At 49.5% G+C, this 21,593-nt stretch overlaps 1 protein-coding gene across 5 annotated transcripts, besides 6 other annotated features; it reads left to right on the top strand.

Annotated features, from left to right (window-relative positions):
* Window positions 4,172-4,231: an enhancer, noted in NCBI's record as "active region_5579". NCBI's record gives its function as "activates an Ori minimal core promoter by ATAC-STARR-seq in GM12878 lymphoblastoid cells {active_cell/tissue: GM12878}" and the evidence as "EXISTENCE:reporter gene assay evidence [ECO:0000049][PMID:35858748]".
* Window positions 4,422-4,521: a silencer, noted in NCBI's record as "silent region_3940". NCBI's record gives its function as "represses an Ori minimal core promoter by ATAC-STARR-seq in GM12878 lymphoblastoid cells {active_cell/tissue: GM12878}" and the evidence as "EXISTENCE:reporter gene assay evidence [ECO:0000049][PMID:35858748]".
* Window positions 4,542-4,821: a silencer, noted in NCBI's record as "silent region_3941". NCBI's record gives its function as "represses an Ori minimal core promoter by ATAC-STARR-seq in GM12878 lymphoblastoid cells {active_cell/tissue: GM12878}" and the evidence as "EXISTENCE:reporter gene assay evidence [ECO:0000049][PMID:35858748]".
* IL10RA (interleukin 10 receptor subunit alpha) lies at window positions 4,744-21,387 on the top strand. Of its 5 annotated transcripts, NR_026691.2 has the most exons (8): window positions 4,744-4,884; window positions 5,034-5,163; window positions 6,732-6,852; window positions 7,792-7,970; window positions 11,591-11,760; window positions 12,349-12,499; window positions 13,939-14,060; window positions 17,065-21,387. NR_026691.2 is itself a non-coding variant. In XM_047426882.1 (7 exons), exons 1-7 carry the CDS (start codon window positions 5,157-5,159, stop codon window positions 17,989-17,991), a joined length of 1,677 nt encoding a protein of 558 aa, XP_047282838.1. In that variant the 5' UTR covers window positions 4,744-5,156; the 3' UTR covers window positions 17,992-21,387. The 5 variants fall into 5 exon arrangements, 4 of the variants coding, with proteins under 4 accessions (XP_047282838.1, NP_001549.2, XP_047282840.1 ...); XM_047426882.1 differs by having other exon boundaries at window positions 4,744-5,163; NM_001558.4 differs by lacking the exon at window positions 5,034-5,163 and having other exon boundaries at window positions 17,065-19,833.
* Window positions 5,622-5,921: an enhancer, noted in NCBI's record as "active region_5580". NCBI's record gives its function as "activates an Ori minimal core promoter by ATAC-STARR-seq in GM12878 lymphoblastoid cells {active_cell/tissue: GM12878}" and the evidence as "EXISTENCE:reporter gene assay evidence [ECO:0000049][PMID:35858748]".
* Window positions 12,931-13,100: an enhancer, noted in NCBI's record as "experimental_19171 CRE fragment used in MPRA reporter constructs". NCBI's record gives its function as "activates a minimal promoter by MPRAs in K562 erythroleukemia cells, with activity observed for both the introgressed and non-introgressed 11:117865381 variant alleles {active_cell/tissue: K562}" and the evidence as "EXISTENCE:reporter gene assay evidence [ECO:0000049][PMID:34662402]".
* Window positions 17,232-17,733: an enhancer, noted in NCBI's record as "H3K4me1 hESC enhancer chr11:117869597-117870098 (GRCh37/hg19 assembly coordinates)". NCBI's record gives its function as "activates a minimal SCP1, AML or CMV promoter by ChIP-STARR-seq in naive H9 embryonic stem cells {active_cell/tissue: H9 hESC(naive)}" and the evidence as "EXISTENCE:reporter gene assay evidence [ECO:0000049][PMID:30033119]".

The following is a 21,593-nucleotide window of genomic DNA, read 5'->3' on the forward strand; positions in this document are numbered from 1 at the left end:
TGTGGTTTTCTCATCTTAAAACAAGAGTGCCAGTTTACCCACTTTCCAGGGTTCTTAAAAAATGCCATATTCCCTAATCTCCAAGTAAACACTTCCTTCTGTCTGGAATACCCTCCCTATCCACTCTTCATTAGCTACCTCCTATTCCTCCCTCAAGTCTCAACTTAGATGTCACCTCCTTCAGGAAGTTTTCCTTATCTTCTATCCCAAGTGTGGTTTAGTGCCTCTGTCTTTTGTCCAGTCAGCCTGTACTTGCCTTCCCAGAGCACTTACCACTGTGTATTAAAATCTCTGTTCACTTTCTGCCTCTGCCCAGATTGCTTCTTGGGGAAAGGGACTTAGTTTTGATCACCATTTTATTCCTAGCATCATTATAGCATCTGGCCCACAACGAGTGTGCAGTAAATATTGTCATATGAACGAATTAAAAATTTTGATCCTCCTTCAAAATGGTAACGCGTAAGACTCTTATACGTCAACAAAAAATAAAAGTAAAGACAAGGTCAGGAACTGGCCAGGTGCGTTGGCTCACGCCTGTAATCCCAGCACTTTGGGAGGCTGAGGCAGATGGATCACTTGAAGTCAGGAGTTTGAGACCAGCCTGGCCAACATGGTGAAACCCCGTATCTACCTAAAAATACAAAAATTTCGCCAGGCGTGGTGGTGGGTGCCTGTAATCCCAGCTACTTGGAAGGCTAAGACATGAGAATCACTTGAACCTGAGAGATGGAGGTTGCAGTGAGCCGAGATTGTGCCGCTGCACTCCAGCCTGGGCAACAGAGAGAGACGCTGTCTTAAAAAAAAAAAAAAAAAAAAAAAATTGCCGGGCGCGGTGGCTCACCCCTGTAATCCCAGCACTTTGGGAGGCCGATGCGGCCATATCACGAGGTCAGGAGATTGAGACCATCCTGGCTAACACGGTAAAACCCCGTCTCTACTAAAAAAATACAAAAAATTAGCCGGGCGTGGTGGCGGATGCCTGTAGTCCCAGCTACTCGGGAGGTGAGGCAGCAGAATGGCATGAACCCGGAAGGCAGAGCTTGCAGTGAGCCAAGATCGGGCCACTGCACTCCAGCCTGGGTGACAGAGCAAGACTCTGTCTCAAAAAAAAAAAAAAAAAGTTCTGGAAGAAACATCACAGTGTCTTTCTCTTTTAAAAGGTCGGGGTAACTAAGTAGTTGTTTCAGAAGGCAGCTACACCCCTTGGGTCATGACAGGGTACTCCTGAGCAATTTACCATCTTAATTCCTCACTTGAGCAACAGAGAGTATAAAAAAAATCTTCACACATTAAAAAAGCCTGGGGCTTGCCCTCTCCACTCATCTGGGGGTGTGGCAACAAGAGCTGTCTCCTGAGGGTGGCCCAGGCTGATGATGTGTCCTGGTAGGCCTGCAGATATCACTCTCCCCCATCCATGTAGCTGAGGCACCCCTGCCTTCGCTGACTATCGTCAAGAGTGAGGTCTTTCTAGTCCCAATGTAGACTCTTAGATACAGGATGGGATCTCCCAACTCCCACCCCCAGCCAACCTGGCACACTTTCAGTCCAGGCCACTGGGCAGAGAGATTTCCGCTCTGAAAATATTGAAATAGGGTTTATATCTCCACAAACCATGGGGATAATGCCTCACTAACTCCTAGACCACGCACAGTGCTGGTGTCACACACCTAAGTTAGGGGCCCTTTCTCAAAAGCTGCAGTAAATAAGGCCCTCCATGTGGGCATTGGGCACTGCCAGGGAAACCTCCCAGGAGCAGGTGATAGTTACAGGAGGCAGTCAAATGCCTAGGCAGATAGGGCGGGTCCCTGGTGAAACCCCACCTCCAAGTTGAAGACAACTTAAAACCTGAAAGCCAAGCTGCAAGTTAAATCTTCAGACCAGATTGAGAACCTGTCTTCCCATTTGGCACGCTTTCCTCTGATTGATCCCCACCCTTCACCTACTTTACATACACCTACCCTTTCCTAATTGGTTTTCTACACTGTCGTACCCACCTTTGAGTGGTATTTTCACTTTAACCTTTTTTGCATACTCACAAACCAATCGGCATGCACTCCCTATTCTGAGTCCAGAAAAAGCCCTGGATCCAGCCACACTGAGAAAAAAAAACACCCAACTGTGGGAGCGGGGAACCACCCCCCTCCCCATCCCCTCTCTGCTGAGAGCTGGTCCATCACTCAATAAAATTATTCTCTGCCCATCCTCACCCTTCAACTGTCAGCGAATTCTCATTCTTCTTGAACACAGGACAAGAGCTCAGGAACAAATGAAGGTACAAACTACAATACAGGCAGGGCGGGGTATGGCCGGGTGGGTGGGGCAGCAGGCCTGGAGTGGGGCCTTGCTGGCCAGAAATGTCCTGAGCCCCTCTTCTTTGGTTTGTCTGAGAACAAGGGCAGGGCTTGAGGGATGCACACACAGTCCCAAACACACATATGCACTTGGCAAACAGACAACGTTCTCCACACCACAATGAAATCCAAATCCACAGACTGGCCACTGCAAATCATATATGACTGCAAGTGCACACACACACACACACACACACACACACACACACACACACTTTGAAGCAGGTGTCAGCCTCCAAGAAAAAGTGATGGACAGTCTGTCTCTCATATCCTCACATATTTGGTTCACCTGGAGATGGCCTCAGATGAGCCAAGTGACACAGAGGTGCGAGAGACTGAGGATGTGCTGAGGTGTTACCCAGCACTCCAGTAGTGCTATTACCCAACACAAAAATTGGTCTGAATATCAGATTTCAAGCAAGCAAGGGAAACCCAGAAGAGACTGGGAGAAGTCCTTATGGAGGCTAAAGCAACTCCATGTTGGATGCTAATCCACAGTTTTGGCCGTGTTGGCTTTGGAGCCTCCCAGAAGACCTCTGAGATTCCCAATTTATCAATTGCTCCTTGTGTAAGTGCAAACACTTACTGTAAATCCGGCCCTTAGGTCAAACAACCTTGATGTTATCATACTTCAACTGTCCTACACATCTTTTCTGAATCACCCTTCCCCTGTGGTCTATAAGCCCTGGTCCTGGGGGTGAATCATGGAGACACAAACGTAGCTTCTGTTTATAAGTCCTTATTAAATGTTTTTTTCGAAGAAACTGGATGTGTCAGCCTGTAACCTGCAAAAGGATCTGGCTGCTCTCTGCTTGTAGAAAGAATGGATAATAAAGGAAAATCTGCTAGCTGCCATGCTAGCAGGGGAAGAGCAGCAAACAATTCCACTCTTCAATTCATGGGGGGAACGCAGGGGTTTTTTAAGAAAGGATCTGAAATGCAGAAAAGGCAAGGGGGAGGTTAGGAGGTACCAGGTGGTGTGACTTGCTCCAGTGGTCCTCTTTAATTATCGTCTTATTTGGTGGAGGGGCTGGTGCAATCGTGGATCCTGCCAGGTTATAAATTAGTTACTCTTCAGCAGGGTATATGTTCAACTCCTGAAGTAAGCTTTTGTTGGAGAGAGAATTCCGGAGGTGCCTGGTCCCTATCAGGACGCAGCTCCTGAGGCATCTAAGGAAATATATGACCAGGTAAGAGCATAGCGTGTGCTTAACAAGCACGTAGGTAAATAAACGTGCGTAAGGCATGGGAGTACAGTATGGGACAGGAAAGGGAGTGGAGGTCACAGCACGTCCTGAGGCTGTGTTTTAAGATGAGAGGTAACATACATGCAGTTTGTCTCAAAATTATATCTTGAGGCCCAGAGGAGGAAGAGAAAAAAGGAAAGAAGAGAAACTAAGTTTAAAACACGGTTTAAGGCTGGGCGCGGTGGCTCACCCCTGTAATCCCAGCACTTTGGGAGGCTGAGGCGGGTGGATCACCTGAGGTCAGGAGTTCGAGACCAGCCTGGCCAACATGGTGAAACCCCGTCTCTACTAAAAATACAAAAATTAGCCCAGGCGTGGTGGCACATGCCTGTAATGCCAGCTACTCGGAAGGCTGAGGCAGGAGAATCGCTTGAACCTGGGAGACGAAGGTTGCAGTGATCCGAGATCACGCCACTGCATTCCAGCTTGGGCGACAGAGCGAGACTGTAAAAAAAAAAAATAGATAAAAAAATTTTAAAAATCGCGGTTTGAGGCTCAGCTGCTGAGCTGCTGGTTAAAAGCCTCTTTCTTGGGTCTCTCAGCTTCCTGGGACTTTGGGGGCAGGTCTGCATAAACTGCTTAGTTGTGGACCCCCCTCCAACAATTAGGTAGGGGACTACTCAGTATTCATCCATCGGTGTCCTCAGACCCCCAGACGGGGAGGCCCTGGGGCAACGCCAAGACTCACACCGGCGTCCTGGCGCCTTTGCCCTCAAGGGCCTGCAACTACCTCCTCCCCATTCGGAGCGGCCGCGGCCACATCCTTAACGCCAAGCCGGCACGCCAGGCAAAAGCGGCTCGGACGCCCTCACCCCACCTTCCGCACTCAGGGCCGAGGCTGTGCCTGGCCACCTGCTTCCCAGCACATGCACACACGCGCGCGCGCACACACCCACACACACGTACCCACGGCCGGCCGGGCTACCCGGACCACTTTGATCCGAAGGCACTGGAGGCCCAGAGGGAAGGAAAGGGAGGGGTGGCCGGAGCCCGCTAGCGCCCCAGGACAGCCTCGGGTTGCCCCAGGCGGTAGCCCTGTGGGACAGTGGTTCCCCGTCCGCGGCCTCGGGGGCGGGGCGTCTGTAGGCCTCGCCCCGCTGACGTCAGCCCTGCGGGGCGCTGGCGGAGCGGGCGGCGGAGCTGTCAGTCCCAGCCCAAGGGTAGCTGGAGGCGCGCAGGCCGGCTCCGCTCCGGCCCCGGACGATGCGGCGCGCCCAGGATGCTGCCGTGCCTCGTAGTGCTGCTGGCGGCGCTCCTCAGCCTCCGTCTTGGCTCAGACGCTCATGGTAAGGCTCCGGGACGCGGCCCTTCCCTGCCCTGCCCTCTCCGCGCCCGCTCCATTAAAGTTCTCCATCCAGTGGAGAGCCCTGGCTGGCTGGCCCTCTGGCAGAGCGGTGCCCGGGTGCTCCCTTACTCTGGCAAACCTGGATCTCAGGCTCACCTGTTGTGGAAGTGGAAGAGGCTGAAATTGACAGGAACTGACGGATTGGGAAGGATAGAGAAGTATGCGCAAGGCCAAACCCCCAACCCGCAAACCTCATCATCCACCCACTTCTAGATGAGCCGTAAGTTTAGCTCTAGGTTTTTTGCTGTTTAGGTTCAAATGATGGGACTTCTTGTCCCCTTGGGGAATAATTTTGATCTCCTGACTCTCCCTTCTCTTAGTCGACTCTTCAACTAACCTCTGTCTGTCCTTCTCCCATCTCACCTTCATCCCTCACTGATCACCCCGATCTGATCCCCCTTGCTCCACCTGTAGCCCCCAACTCACTCCCACTGCCCCCTGCCTCTCTCCTCCTAACCCAGCCAGTTCAGGCTTCTAACCCAGTTCAGGCTCCTAACCCAGACAGTTCTCCGGCAAGGTTTCTGCAACTAAGAAAAGTAAACCCCAGAGACAGAATGAAAGAGCCGGGAGTTGGAAGGACCAAGAGCAGAGACAGAGAGCAAGGACCGAAACTGCTTCTTCATGACACCAAAATACAAAGTAAAACATGCAGTCAGCCATTCACGTGATCGAGAGCTGAGTCGGAGATGTGCAGCCCAAATACCACAACGACTCGCTGCATTTTTCACTTTCCGTCTAATGTTTCGAAATCAAGGCACTGACGTGAAGATCAAAGACGGTATAAGAAAGAAAGCAAGAGACAGATGACAGAGTCCTCCCCCCCAAAAAATAAATAAAAAACAGGTGCATGATTAGAGAGATGTAGAGAAGTTAGAACACTAGGGAGCGGGAGCAGAGTCGCTGTCAAATGGAGAGAACTTAGAGGATCAAGGAGGAGAGAAAGGGAACCAACCAGCCGTTGGCCTTGCACATACTTCAGTCTGCTTGATCAACAAGACTCTTAAAGTAGAAATGTTTGTTGCATTCTTACAAAGAAGACAATGCCTTCAGCAGTGTTTCCCATGGTGAATGGTGTGTACTGGGGGTAAAGGGAGAGTAGAGCTAGGAATTGGTATTGAGTATCTCTCCTCGGAGCTACAGGTGCCAGCTCTTGTGGGGATGTCCTCAGCCATGTGTAGAGCCAGAGCTGATTTATTCCATCTGTCCTTGCCCAGCCAGAGGTTGGACATCTGGCTATAGGCAAAGCCCTCCCAGAAACTAGGGAATGAGGCAAGCACTTAGCTTGGGGAGCCCAGGAGACCTATGAAGAGAAGGAGGCAGATGTCAGCAAGCAGGCTGTCTGTGTACTTAGTGAGGTGGCTTTGAGCTGGAGCCTGGGCCAAGCCAGGGTGGGGATCAGGTGTGTGGATGGGGCCAAGCCTAGGAATAGTGCTAGAGCAGGGACAGGGATTGGGCAGAGCCAGGGACTAACACATCTGAGAGCTCATTGCCAACTTGCTTAGCCCTCGGCCCCTGCCTTCTTCCCTGGTAGGCATCAGACTCAGCTTGGCTCTTCTCAGCCCCCACTGCAGCTTCTGATCACAGAGAGCACAGGGCAGTGATTTAGGGAGACACACTAGCTCTAGAATCAGACACATGTGGATTCATGTGCCCACTCTGCCCCTTACGGGCTCCGCTGGCCTCGGGCGAGTCATAGCCTCTCTGAACCTCCCTTTCTTCTTTGGTAAAATTGGGGTCATCAATGCCTGCCCCCCCTCCCAGCTGTGGTACTGACACTCTTCTCCCCAGGGACAGAGCTGCCCAGCCCTCCGTCTGTGTGGTTTGAAGCAGAATTTTTCCACCACATCCTCCACTGGACACCCATCCCAAATCAGTCTGAAAGTACCTGCTATGAAGTGGCGCTCCTGAGGTGAGGAAAAGGGAAGAGGGAGGGGGAGGGAGGAGTGAATCCCCGCCTTGTCCTCTACTCTCCTAGCATGGGAAGATACCTGCCTTGTTAATGAAGTGAGTGCCTGAGGGCCCCTAACACATAGCCAGCAGTTGACAAGTACTGACTGAGACTCCCTTGCTGAGCAATGTGCCGGGAGCTCTGGGTGAAAAGGCCAGAGCCTTTGCTCACTCCAGAGTAAGAAAAGCCTTGTGCCAAGGCTTTTCTCTTTTTTGTTTTGTTTTGTTTTGTTTCGTTGAGACAGCTTCTCGCTCTGTCACCCAGGCTGGAGTGCAGTGGCGCAATCTCAGCTCACTGCAGCCTCTGCCTCCTGGGTTCAAGCAATTCTCCCATCTCAGCCTCCCAAGTAGCTGGGATTACAGGGGTCCACCACCATGCCTGGCTAATGTTTGCATTTTTAGTAGAGACGGGTTTTCACCATGTTGGCCAGGCTGGTCTCGAACTCCTGACTTCAGGTGATCCACCCGCCTCAGCCTCCCAAAGGGCTGGGATTACTGGCGTGAGCCACCACCTCCGGCCTCCAAGGCTTTTCTATCTTACTGGAAAAGGAGAAGCATCCACAGTACAGCCAGACAACAGGGGAACACTAATGACTGTAAAGGCAGTGGGGAGAAGGGAGAGACCAGGCTGTGCTGTAGGAGCCAGAAAGAATTTCTGGAAGAGCTGGGCCTACTCGTATTCCTATCTAAAAATCTGCTAGACCACATGGAAATTGGTACGGGGTCCCAAGACCAAGGGAGACCCCTCACAATGAGCTGCCGTGGACTAGAGGATATAGCCTGAGGGCTGTCCCAGTTTCTCCCAATGTGGGAGCTCTCTTCCTGGCCTCTTGCGTCTCCCTTAAAGGAGGTAGGATTGAGCACAAGCTCGTTTCCAGTGCCTAACCTGGTATCTCCTCAGGTATGGAATAGAGTCCTGGAACTCCATCTCCAACTGTAGCCAGACCCTGTCCTATGACCTTACCGCAGTGACCTTGGACCTGTACCACAGCAATGGCTACCGGGCCAGAGTGCGGGCTGTGGACGGCAGCCGGCACTCCAACTGGACCGTCACCAACACCCGCTTCTCTGTGGATGAAGGTGCTTTTCCTCCCTTGACTTAGAACATGGCTCTGAAGTCCCTTCCAGCCAGGAACTCTAGTCTAGAGCTTTTCTGTCTATTACCATAGCTCACCATGTCTGCCAGCCTCCCTGGCCGGAGAACTAGTTGCCCAAACAGGGCAGGACTTTGGAGAATGTTAGATAAAAATAGCCCAAGTTGTTTGAGATTTAAAAGGGAACTGGAGTTGTTTATCCTACAGAAGAGAGGTCTTGGGGTGGGTTGGGACAGCTGAGTCACCAGGTCCAGGCCTGTGAACTTGTTTTTTCAGGGAGGGTTCAGGGAGAGGAAGCGAATCCATGAACACTCAGCATAGGGCAGCAAGCAGTAGGCAGAATTTGGGTGAACGCCCCGCTTCTTTAGGGGTGAACACCCAGGGGTCATCCCTTTGAAATGGGAAGTGCTACTAAAGAGAAGTTATGGATCCCTCTCTGGAGAGGTAAGAGGAAAGGATAAGCCCCCAACTCAGTGGGATTTTTCATCCCACCAGTTGGGATTGAGAAAGTTTTGTGTGCATGGAGACCTCGCTCTGTAGGATTCAGAGTTAGAGCCGATGGTCTAGGAGGTCATTGGCTTCCAAATGCCTGCCCACAGGCCACTGCTCAGCTGGTGCAGAAACGTTTCCCAGCAAGTGTGTTTAAAATATCTATTTCCAGGGCCCAGCCTCAGAAATTCAGACCAACTGTGTCTTGAATGGGCCCAGGGCATCTGTATTTTTTTTTTTTTTAACATTTTGTTCTTCTTTGTATTTTGATTTGAGCAAGGCAATTATAAAAAGACATTTTTGAGGAAATCACCATATTTGTATATGAAATGGTTTTTAGGGCATATTACTAGGTATTTGTTTGTTACATGTGATAACAGCATGGTAGTTATATTTACAAAGGTGTGATATGTGAGAGATACATACTTACGTAATTAGGAATTAAGTAATACAGTGCTTGGGATTTTTCTTTAAAATGCTAAAGTAAATTTCATGGGGGGATATTGATGACCCTCCCCTGCCACCAATTACTTCAAAATTGGCCTAGTGTTTGCAATTACTAAAGCTGGGACTTTGGAAATCATTATATTCTCTTCTACTTTTCTGTCTATTGGAAATTTCTACATAAAAATATAATCAATGCAATTTATCACATTAACCATTTAAAAAAGAAAACAACATTTAAAAAGAAACTAAGCAAAGTTAAAGTAGAAAGAAAATGTCCTAACCTGTAGAAAGGTATCTATCTACACATATCTACCATAAATATTATGCTTAACAGTAAAGTGTTGGGCTGGGCTCGGTGGCTCACGGCTGTAATCCCAGCACTTTGGGAGGCCAAGGTGGGTGGATCACCTGAGGTCAGGAGTTTGAGACCAGCCTGGCTGACAAGGTGAAACCCCATCTCTTCTAAAAATACAAAAATTAGCCGGGCGTGGTGGCGTGCACCTGTAGTCTCAGCTACTCAGGGAGGCTGAGGCAGGAGAATCACTTGAACTCAGGAGGCAGAGGTTGCAGTGAGCCAAGATCAAGCCATTGCACTCCAGTCTGGGTGACAGAGCGAGACTCTGTCTCAAAAAAACAAACAAATAAACAAAAAACAGTAAAGTGTTGAAAACGTTTTATAAAAAAGTTTTTCTTTTAATTGACAAGTAATAATTCTACATGTTTATGAGGTACAGTGTTATGTATACATAATACATGTATACCTTGTGGAATGATCAAATCAAGGTAATTAGAATATCTATCACCTCAAATATTTAGCATTTCTTTGTGCCAAAAACATTTAAAATATTATCTTTCAGCTATTTTGAAATATACAGTCCATTATTATTACTACAGTCACCTTGCCGTGCAATAGGCACCAGAACTTATTCCTCCTGTCTCACTGTAACTTGGTACCCCTCTCCTTGTTCCCTATCCACTTCTCCCACCTGCCTCCTTCCAGCTTCTGGTAACCACTTCTACTCTCTACTTCTATGAATTGAATTCTAAAAGAATTCTACTTAGATTCTATACATAAGTGAGATCTTATGGCATTTATCTCTTTGCACCTGGCTTATTTCGCTCATGATGTCCTCTAGGTCCATCTGTGTTGTCCCAAATGAGAGTTTCCTTTTTTTTCAATTTGAGACAAAGTCTTGCTCTGTCACCCAGGCTGCAGTGCAATGTCTTGATCTCATCTCACTTCAACCTCCGCCTCCCGAGTTCAAGAGATTCTCTTGCTTCAGCCTCCTTAGTAGCTGGGATTACAGGCACGTGCCACCATGCCCGGCTAATTTTTGTATTTTTAATAGAGATGGGGTTTCACCATGTTGGCCAGGCTGGTCTCGGACTCCTGACCTCAAATGATCCACCCGCCTAAGCCTCCCAAAGTGCTAGGATTACAGGCGTGAGCCACTGGGCCGGGCCTCAGTTTCCTATTTTTCAAGGCTGAATAGGATTCTGTTGTATATACATACCACATTTAAAAAACCCATTCATCCATTGGTGGGCATTTCCATATCTTGGCTGTTATGAATAATACTGCAATGAACGGGGGATACAGGTATCTCTTCAATACACTAATTTCAATATCTTTCGATATATACCCAGTAGTGGGAATTGCTGGATCACATGGTAGCTCTATTTTTAGATTTTCGAGGAACATCCATACTGTTTTCCATAATGGCTGAGAAATTCACCACCAGCGACATGCAAGGGTTTCCCTTTTCACCACATCCTTGCCAATGCTTGTTACTTCCATCTTTTGGATAATAGCCAATCTAACAGGTGTGGAGTGGTATCTCATTGTGGTTTTAATTTGCATTTCTCTGATGATTAGAGATGTTGACCATTTTTTCATGTATCTGTTGGTCATTTGTATGTCTTCTTTTAACTGTCTATTCAAGTCCTTTACCCATTTTAAAAACAGGTTTATTTGTTTTCTTGTTATTAAGTAGTATGAGTTCCTTGTATATTTTGGATATGAACCCCTTATTCAATGAACATTTGTAAATATTTTCCACCCATTCATAGATTGTGTCTTCACTCTAGTGGTTGTTTCTTTTGCTGTGCAGAAGCTCTTTAGTGTGATGCAATCCCATTTGTCTATTTTTGCTTTTGTTGCCTGTGCTTTAGGGATCGTATCCAAGAAATCTTTGCCCAGACCAAAGTCTTAGAACTTTGCCCCAGGTTTTCTTCTGGTGGTTTTTATAGTTTCAGGTGTTACATTTGTCTTTAATCCATTTTGTGTTGATTGTTGCGTAAGAGGTGAGACAAAGATCTATTTTCATTGTTCTGTTTGTGAATATCCAGTTTTCCCAACACCATTTGTTGAAGAGACTGTTCTTTTCCCATTGTGTGTTCTTGGCCCCTTTGTTGAAAATCAATTGTGGGTTTATTTCTGGGCTGTCCATCATATTCCATTGGTTGATGCATCTGATTTTAGGGTATATGTATTTTTAATGTGCTCCCCAAGAAGTCCTTACATTCTGCTGCATTGACAAACCTGTGGCCAAGTTTTAGGCCTAGGTTCTAATTAAGCTTAATTCTGGAGGCAAAGTCTCGGCGGGGACACCCAGGCCCTCCTCAGCCCTCAAGTCTCATGGTATTCCCCCCCACCCCAACTCCATTTAGTGACTCTGACAGTTGGCAGTGTGAACCTAGAGATCCACAATGGCTTCATCCTCGGGAAGATTCAGCTACCCAGGCCCAAGATGGCCCCCGCAAATGACACATATGAAAGCATCTTCAGTCACTTCCGAGAGTATGAGATTGCCATTCGCAAGGTGCCGGGAAACTTCACGGTATGGGGTTCCCCAAGGCCCCAGGGCCAGAACTCCCTTGGCTTCCCTGTCCCCTGGGCTGGAAGCACCCTTGTGTGCCATTGGGAACTTTGCTTATGGACTAAAGGGAGGGTCTGGGATGGTGGGTGGGCAGAGGAGGGAGTAGAAACCACCTCAGCCCTCAGAGCTATGCTCTTGTGAGATGCTCCTCAAAGGAATTGCCTACTAGGGCAATTGGGCACCCCAGAGCCCTTGTAGATGAAGCAATAAGGCTCTGAGAGGCTGTGTAACCTACCAGAGGGCGCCCCTGTTATGGGAGAGCTGGCATCTGCAAAATCCACCCTCTCTCCTCTCCACCACTGTTGATTCCAGCCCCTTCTGGGAAGATCTTCAGCATCTATAAAACACCGCTTTTTCTTTTAAAATACAAAATAAAATTGTGGTCATTACAGAGATCATGTGCTGCATTGGTAATTGTGGGGTTTGTCATCTTAGACAAAGGATACTGAAGGGGGTTGGCTGAAATCACCTCTAAAGGCCCACCAGCTCTCAGTGTCCGTGTGCCATGAAATAAAAGGATTTTGTTAATTGCTATCATTTTTGTTTCAGTTCACACACAAGAAAGTAAAACATGAAAACTTCAGCCTCCTAACCTCTGGAGAAGTGGGAGAGTTCTGTGTCCAGGTGAAACCATCTGTCGCTTCCCGAAGTAACAAGGGGATGTGGTCTAAAGAGGAGTGCATCTCCCTCACCAGGCAGTGTGAGTCAGCTGGGCTGCTCTCAGCATGGGGAGGGAGACTGGGAGGGCCTGGTGCAATCCAAAACGCGTGCACCTGGGATGCTGGTGCCAGCCACTGTGTTAGGTGCTGCTTCACATAGCTCTGCATCCTTAATAGGAGAGAGGTCCTACTGTCCTCATTTTAGAGATGAGGGAACTGAGGCTCAGTATTAGCAACTTCCTAGGGTTGCACAGCTAGGACTTGGTGGCAGAACCAGGTCTCTTGGATCTAGGGTCCTCCCACTGGAGCACAGCGGTGTTTCCCAACAACATCCCCCTCCCCCGGGGCCATCTTCAGTGAGCTGTGCTAGTTCCTGTTGTTACAGTCTTCTGCTGTTCTTCCTCAGAGCCAGGGATACAAAGGGCTTCTCCTTACTTCCCCTACTCTGCTCTGCTCCTCGCCAGAGCTGCTAAAGTCAGCAAATACTGCTCCAGGCTGTCAGTCAGGTGCCGGGGCTGTAGGGGGAGGGAGATAATAGAGGACATGGAGGCCACGGTCTTGCCTAGGAGGATCTTGCATCCTGGCTGGGGAGATAGAGTGTGCACAGAGGAGACTGTAACAAGCAACTCTTATTGGACAGCAGATGAGATGTCCAGTGCCCAATGAAACATGCCAACAGTAAGTGCTCTGGGAGGGCCCAGTCCAGTGTGGGCAGAGTCTGGCAAAGGTGAAAGTGACTCCTGCTAGATCTGCAACAAATTTCAGTTTGTGAAGGACACTCAACAGCTCAGTGTCATTTAAGTCTCAATGCAGAGGAAGGCACTAAGTGGGTATCAGGCAGTCTTAAGAGTTTTTCATACATTCATTCACTGATACATGAAATAGTTCCAAATCTCAGCTTTACAACTTTTGAGGTATATGACTTTGGGCAAATTACTTAACTTCTATGTGCTTCAGGATCCTAATATGTAAAAATGGGGCTGATGATAGTATTTACCTCCTATAAGTATAAAAGTTAAAAGAATCTGATGGTATTGGTACATGGTCAGTGCTGTGTACTTCACAACTACCTTATGAGGTCAGTGGCTCTGACAGAGTAATTAATTTGTCCACAATTGCACAGCTAGTAAGTGGTGAAGCTGGGACTTGAACCCAGATCTAGCAGCCCCCGGAGCCTCGATTCTTACCTGCTGTACCATCCTGCCTCACTGTTCTGTTTGCTGTGATGGGAGTCATGTGCAGAGAGCTGGAAGCAGTTAGCGCATCTCCTGAGGGAATCCTTCAGGGCATGGTTTGGAAGGCCAGGTAGGGATTCGCAGAAACCTAGACACATCTAGAGTTGTGGCCTGTAGTTTGCCTTGGGCCACTCACTGAATGGTTCCTGACAGTGGGCAATGGATTTCATGGGACCAGAGTCCTATGTCCAGAATCACCGTGCCCCATGGTGACAGGCCACAAACACATCTCTCTGGGCCTGCAGATTTCACCGTGACCAACGTCATCATCTTCTTTGCCTTTGTCCTGCTGCTCTCCGGAGCCCTCGCCTACTGCCTGGCCCTCCAGCTGTATGTGCGGCGCCGAAAGAAGCTACCCAGTGTCCTGGTGAGTCTTGCAAGGAGGTCACTGCCCCGTCCTTCCCAGCCACACCCGAGCTTCCAGGAGGGCAGGGAGCTCTTTTCCTCCCAGCCAGTCCATTGCCTTAGCTTGCCTCTGCTCTCAGCCCTGATGTGATTGGGAGATACCTTCATCAAGCGCTGTGGGGACAGAGGGAGGAAGTGAGCATGAAGCCCAGTACCGAGAATGTTGCCATCCAGTAGCTCAGATGAGACACATGGAATCACAAATCTCAATGACCACGAGCCATTTTGATATGATCTACTAGTAGTTGGCCATGGACTAGCCCCTGTGCATTGCATCTCTGATTATGAGGCACAGTTATTATCCCCATTTCATAAGTGAGGAAACTGAGGCACAGAGAGATTGTTACACACAGAGGGCCACACAGCCAGGAAGAGTCAGGGAGGGAACCCACTTTCCTACTGCTATTAGCCATGGGTGTTCCACAAGAGAGAAAGAAGGAAAGGCCAGAAGTGCTGGTCCTCGGGCTGCTGCCAGAGTGGGCCAGAGGAGAGAGGACACTGGGGGGCGGTGGGGATGCTGCGCCACTGGAGAGGGGATGCTGGCAGGGGACAGGGAGGGGCTCATGGAGGAGGCCAAGCCCTCCTCCCCTCCCAGGGTGTGTCCTCTTGCTACATTGTACTGACAAATGATACATTTGTGGCAAGCCAGTCTCCAAAACTCAGCTTGCAAAGATTGGGCAGCATTTTCCAAACCTCGGCCTGGTCTCTGGCCTGGAGTTCAGGCCGCATTGAAGATTGCCCACCATAGCCTCCATAGCTGGCACTATTGCATGATGGCTGAGGGATCAGCTGGGAAGGAACCAGCTCCGTCTGCAAGGCAGGGGCCCCACAACTGGAAGGGGAATCTCCAGAGCGATCCTGGGATCTCTAGGGAAAACAAGACGAGAGACAAGTGCAGTGGCACAATCTCAGCTCACTTGCAGCCTCACCCTCTCAGGTTCCAGTGATTCTCCTGCCTTAGCCTCCCGAGTAGCTGGGATTACAGGCATCTGCCACCATGCCTGGCTAATTTTTGTATTTTTAGTAGAGACGGGGTGTTGACCAGGCTGGTCTCGAACTCCTGACCTCCGGTGATATGCCCACCTCGGCCTCCCAAAGTGCTAGGATTATAGGCATGAGCCACCGCACCCTGCCCCTTCTGTACTTTTGGATCACAGAACTGACTTGTCCTTGAGGGTTTTTTCTCTTCAGGATAAATATAGCTCAATCCCTTCATCTGATGATCGTAGTCATTACCACATGAATAAATTATAATGCACAGAGCACTGACACATTCATTAGTTTGTTCTCATTCATTAGCTTGTTTGATTTGATCTTTCAACAGTTCATCAAGGTAAGTATTATTGGACAAGGAAGGGATTTCAAATCAGGACAGTTGAGGATGAATTCCAGATGTGTTCTTTACTGTTGTGCCACTTTGTGCAAGTCATTTAACTTCTCTGAGCTTCAGTTTTCTCCTCTAGGAAATAGAGGTAATAATACTTCTCTTACAGAATTATTGGAGGGTAAAGTTCAATTCAACATATATTTATTGAGCACCTTCTATGTACCACACTTTGTTCTAAGCACTGTAGACACATTACAACATAAGGAGGCAGGTACTGTCATTATTTCCATGTTACAGATGAGGAACTAAAGCACAGAGAGGGTAAGTAATTTGGTCAGGGTGACAAAGCTGATAAGAGTCAGAGCTGGGATTTGAACCCAGGAAGTCTGGCTCTAGAGGACACATCCTAAATCACCAAGCAATGTGATAGGAATAGGGACTCAACCAATAAGAGCTGCATTTGAATCATCATGTACCAAGGAAATGAGGGCAGATGTGCAACAGTGAGTCAGTGAGTCAGTCGGCAGACCTTAGGAGGGCCTACTGTGTGCCAGCTCAGTTTAGACTCTGGAGACAGGGTAGTAAACAACACTAGACAGTTCCTGCCCTCAAGGAGTTTGTGTTCTTTTGGGAATGTGGAGTAAGTGAGTGTGTGTATGGTGAGAGACGAAAACAAACAAGTAAAATAATTCTAGGAACAAAGTGCTAGGAAGAAGTAACAGGGTTAATGTGGAGAGAGTGGCAGGAGTACTGCTTTAGGCAAGGTATTCAGGAAGGCTTTGCTGAAGAAGTGACATCTGAGCTGAGACCTAAGCCATGTACAGGACACAGCCATATAAAGTGCCGAGAGCATTTCAAGCAGGAGGGAGAGTGTGTGCAAAGGCCCTGAGGCAGCACGGTGCTTGATGTGTTCTGGGACAGAAAGAACACCAGTGTGGCTAGGGCAGAGGGGTTATGTGGCTTCCTTGAAACCCTTGGCAATTAACAGAGAGCAGCCCCTTCACTGTGAGTTCCACACTTGTGCCACTGCCCCACGCTGCAGCCACCATGTTCGCGTGAGTCACTACTCGGGGAATAGAAAACTTAATTTGGTGTCTTACATCCAGAATTTTAGAAAATGAAGTAGGCAGGAGGGCATAGACTGGGATACAATAGAATAAGAACTGCAGAAATATCGTGGCACAGCTCATAATGATGAGTATTATTTTGTGAAACTGGTTTCAGTTATTTACATACGGGTTATATATACAAGTCATTATGCAACTTATTTCTGATTTTGAGTCATAGTCAAAAAAGTTTGAAACATGCTTCTAGATGGGTCTAGCCTGCTTTCAGGTTTGAAAAGCACTGTGGATGGAGCCACCTGAGAGTTTTCACCATGCTCAGCAGACCTTGGTTCTGCCTGTTACTCCATCTGGGCCTGAGAATACAAGTTTCTTGTGTATCTGGCCTGAGCCAAACTGGGAATTGCATTAGGAGGAAAGCTGGATTCGAAAACAAAACAGAATACATTCCAGTGTAATTTAGACTGTAGTCTCCTCCATCGAGCTCTCCTCCTGGGCCTGGCCTTCCCCGGCAGCACTGGGATGGGTGCTGGAAGGTGACTCCTGCTTCTCTCACTCTGCCCTCTCTTCCCCAGCTCTTCAAGAAGCCCAGCCCCTTCATCTTCATCAGCCAGCGTCCCTCCCCAGAGACCCAAGACACCATCCACCCGCTTGATGAGGAGGCCTTTTTGAAGGTGTCCCCAGAGCTGAAGAACTTGGACCTGCACGGCAGCACAGACAGTGGCTTTGGCAGCACCAAGCCATCCCTGCAGACTGAAGAGCCCCAGTTCCTCCTCCCTGACCCTCACCCCCAGGCTGACAGAACGCTGGGAAACAGGGAGCCCCCTGTGCTGGGGGACAGCTGCAGTAGTGGCAGCAGCAATAGCACAGACAGCGGGATCTGCCTGCAGGAGCCCAGCCTGAGCCCCAGCACAGGGCCCACCTGGGAGCAACAGGTGGGGAGCAACAGCAGGGGCCAGGATGACAGTGGCATTGACTTAGTTCAAAACTCTGAGGGCCGGGCTGGGGACACACAGGGTGGCTCGGCCTTGGGCCACCACAGTCCCCCGGAGCCTGAGGTGCCTGGGGAAGAAGACCCAGCTGCTGTGGCATTCCAGGGTTACCTGAGGCAGACCAGATGTGCTGAAGAGAAGGCAACCAAGACAGGCTGCCTGGAGGAAGAATCGCCCTTGACAGATGGCCTTGGCCCCAAATTCGGGAGATGCCTGGTTGATGAGGCAGGCTTGCATCCACCAGCCCTGGCCAAGGGCTATTTGAAACAGGATCCTCTAGAAATGACTCTGGCTTCCTCAGGGGCCCCAACGGGACAGTGGAACCAGCCCACTGAGGAATGGTCACTCCTGGCCTTGAGCAGCTGCAGTGACCTGGGAATATCTGACTGGAGCTTTGCCCATGACCTTGCCCCTCTAGGCTGTGTGGCAGCCCCAGGTGGTCTCCTGGGCAGCTTTAACTCAGACCTGGTCACCCTGCCCCTCATCTCTAGCCTGCAGTCAAGTGAGTGACTCGGGCTGAGAGGCTGCTTTTGATTTTAGCCATGCCTGCTCCTCTGCCTGGACCAGGAGGAGGGCCCCTGGGGCAGAAGTTAGGCACGAGGCAGTCTGGGCACTTTTCTGCAAGTCCACTGGGGCTGGCCCCAGCCAGGCCCTGCAGGGCTGGTCAGGGTGTCTGGGGCAGGAGGAGGCCAACTCACTGAACTAGTGCAGGGTATGTGGGTGGCACTGACCTGTTCTGTTGACTGGGGCCCTGCAGACTCTGGCAGAGCTGAGAAGGGCAGGGACCTTCTCCCTCCTAGGAACTCTTTCCTGTATCATAAAGGATTATTTGCTCAGGGGAACCATGGGGCTTTCTGGAGTTGTGGTGAGGCCACCAGGCTGAAGTCAGCTCAGACCCAGACCTCCCTGCTTAGGCCACTCGAGCATCAGAGCTTCCAGCAGGAGGAAGGGCTGTAGGAATGGAAGCTTCAGGGCCTTGCTGCTGGGGTCATTTTTAGGGGAAAAAGGAGGATATGATGGTCACATGGGGAACCTCCCCTCATCGGGCCTCTGGGGCAGGAAGCTTGTCACTGGAAGATCTTAAGGTATATATTTTCTGGACACTCAAACACATCATAATGGATTCACTGAGGGGAGACAAAGGGAGCCGAGACCCTGGATGGGGCTTCCAGCTCAGAACCCATCCCTCTGGTGGGTACCTCTGGCACCCATCTGCAAATATCTCCCTCTCTCCAACAAATGGAGTAGCATCCCCCTGGGGCACTTGCTGAGGCCAAGCCACTCACATCCTCACTTTGCTGCCCCACCATCTTGCTGACAACTTCCAGAGAAGCCATGGTTTTTTGTATTGGTCATAACTCAGCCCTTTGGGCGGCCTCTGGGCTTGGGCACCAGCTCATGCCAGCCCCAGAGGGTCAGGGTTGGAGGCCTGTGCTTGTGTTTGCTGCTAATGTCCAGCTACAGACCCAGAGGATAAGCCACTGGGCACTGGGCTGGGGTCCCTGCCTTGTTGGTGTTCAGCTGTGTGATTTTGGACTAGCCACTTGTCAGAGGGCCTCAATCTCCCATCTGTGAAATAAGGACTCCACCTTTAGGGGACCCTCCATGTTTGCTGGGTATTAGCCAAGCTGGTCCTGGGAGAATGCAGATACTGTCCGTGGACTACCAAGCTGGCTTGTTTCTTATGCCAGAGGCTAACAGATCCAATGGGAGTCCATGGTGTCATGCCAAGACAGTATCAGACACAGCCCCAGAAGGGGGCATTATGGGCCCTGCCTCCCCATAGGCCATTTGGACTCTGCCTTCAAACAAAGGCAGTTCAGTCCACAGGCATGGAAGCTGTGAGGGGACAGGCCTGTGCGTGCCATCCAGAGTCATCTCAGCCCTGCCTTTCTCTGGAGCATTCTGAAAACAGATATTCTGGCCCAGGGAATCCAGCCATGACCCCCACCCCTCTGCCAAAGTACTCTTAGGTGCCAGTCTGGTAACTGAACTCCCTCTGGAGGCAGGCTTGAGGGAGGATTCCTCAGGGTTCCCTTGAAAGCTTTATTTATTTATTTTGTTCATTTATTTATTGGAGAGGCAGCATTGCACAGTGAAAGAATTCTGGATATCTCAGGAGCCCCGAAATTCTAGCTCTGACTTTGCTGTTTCCAGTGGTATGACCTTGGAGAAGTCACTTATCCTCTTGGAGCCTCAGTTTCCTCATCTGCAGAATAATGACTGACTTGTCTAATTCGTAGGGATGTGAGGTTCTGCTGAGGAAATGGGTATGAATGTGCCTTGAACACAAAGCTCTGTCAATAAGTGATACATGTTTTTTATTCCAATAAATTGTCAAGACCACAGGAATCGTGTGAAACTAGTCAGATTGCTGATGGCACATTGGCTCATGGAGGACTCGGTTGTTGATAATGAGGAGGGTAATAATGTGTGGGATGTGTGATGTCACTTTAAGGAAACAGGGCTGAGGACTCAGGCTTAAATCTGACAGACCCAGGGAGTCCTCATGCTACCTGTATTGTGACCTTGGGCCCATTACTTATCCTCTCCAAGTTTTAATTTCCCCACCTGTCACGTGGAGTTGACAACTCCCCATGAGGATGTTGTGAGGTGTAAATGAAATTGCACATAAAAAGTTTAACATGGTGCCAGGCATGTGGTACTATGTGCCACTAGCTGTCATTGGCTGTTGAGTCTGTAAAGAAAAATGGACAGCTTTTCTTGGAAACAAGTGAAAATGAAAGCGATAAGGAGTGTGCAGCGGGACTCTTTCAGAAGACAGAAAAGGAAGAGGTGGAAAGCACAATGCAACGTTTTGGATGTGAGTTCTGACAATGTGGAGAGAAGAACCTGGAAACCCCTCCTTTCCAGGAAGACAGCAAACTGGGCCTCCCTGGAGCTCTGTTCCCAGAGCCCTGTCCCTGGCTCCCCTTGCCCAGGAGGCATGTCCCAGTGGTGGTTCTCCTAAGTGCGGAAGCCATCTGCACTCTATTCTAGAAGCAGCCTGCTCCCTCCATGAAAAACCCCATGTGGGTTTGAATTTCTCCCCATGCTCAGCCCAGTGGGTAGAACAAACCCAGGCCCGCGGCCTGAGCTTCCTGGGTGTGCTTTTCTCTTCGTCCTACCTGAATCCCCTAGAAGGTGACTGGGGACACCTCACCTCTTTTCCCCTGTGTCATCTCCAATCTTGCCTCACCCAGTTCATTCTGAGAAAATAACTAGTTCTGAGGAAGTGCTGATCCTATCATCTTCAGAGAACTTGACTAATATCACGCCATTTCAGACCTGCTCAGGCTTTTGCCCTAGAGCCCTCCTTGTCAATATTGGAAAGAAAAGTAGTGTTGGTCACTTTCTCCTGGAAATGAGGTGTTAGCGATGGCTTATTCCCCATGGAAAAGGCCCCTAAGGTCTAAATATAAAGATTCAGAGAGTAAAAGGAATTACATTCAAGGAACTGCAGCCAGTTTGGTTGGATACGACAGATCAAAGAGCAGCTTGCAGGACAGAAGGAAGTCAGAAGACACAGCCCTTGGTGCAGGCCCTGCCTGCTCCGTTTCTGTGGAATGAGTAGGAGTTTGCGCTGGTTCATCTCTGCTTTGAGGCTGCTCTGTAACCACTCACCACAGACAGGCCCTTGGGAGAAACTGAGCGAGTCCTTCCAAGCAGCCGGGGCTGATGAGACACTTGCAGATTTCTTGGGAATTTGGATTACAGCCCCCAACAGAAGGCCCCAGCTGTTCTTCAACTGAGCAATCTCCTTCAAGGGCTTTTCCAAGCTGAGGAATGCGTAATGCTGTCTTTGTGTGAGCTAATGGAACTTCCTCTTAGTACAGAGAGGGGGTAAATGGGCCACCATTGAGTGAAGAGGAAATTCAATAAACTGTGTTTTCCCAACTTTGTAAATAGCTATAGTCAGGGTGTGCCTTGTCTACCCAGCATATATTCATCCCCCGGCCTCAGTGTTCACACTTTCACAGAAGACACACAGTCCCTAGGAAGCTGGGTCCCACCCCCAGAGCCCATGCTGCTCTGCTGGGTGGAAGGTCTCTGAGCCCCACATGGGAACAGCACAGCAAGGGAAGCTGTAGGCTGTGACCACCTGGGACCAC

This window comes from Homo sapiens, chromosome 11 (genome assembly GCF_000001405.40).
Source record: "Homo sapiens chromosome 11, GRCh38.p14 Primary Assembly".
NCBI lineage: Eukaryota > Metazoa > Chordata > Mammalia > Primates > Hominidae > Homo > Homo sapiens.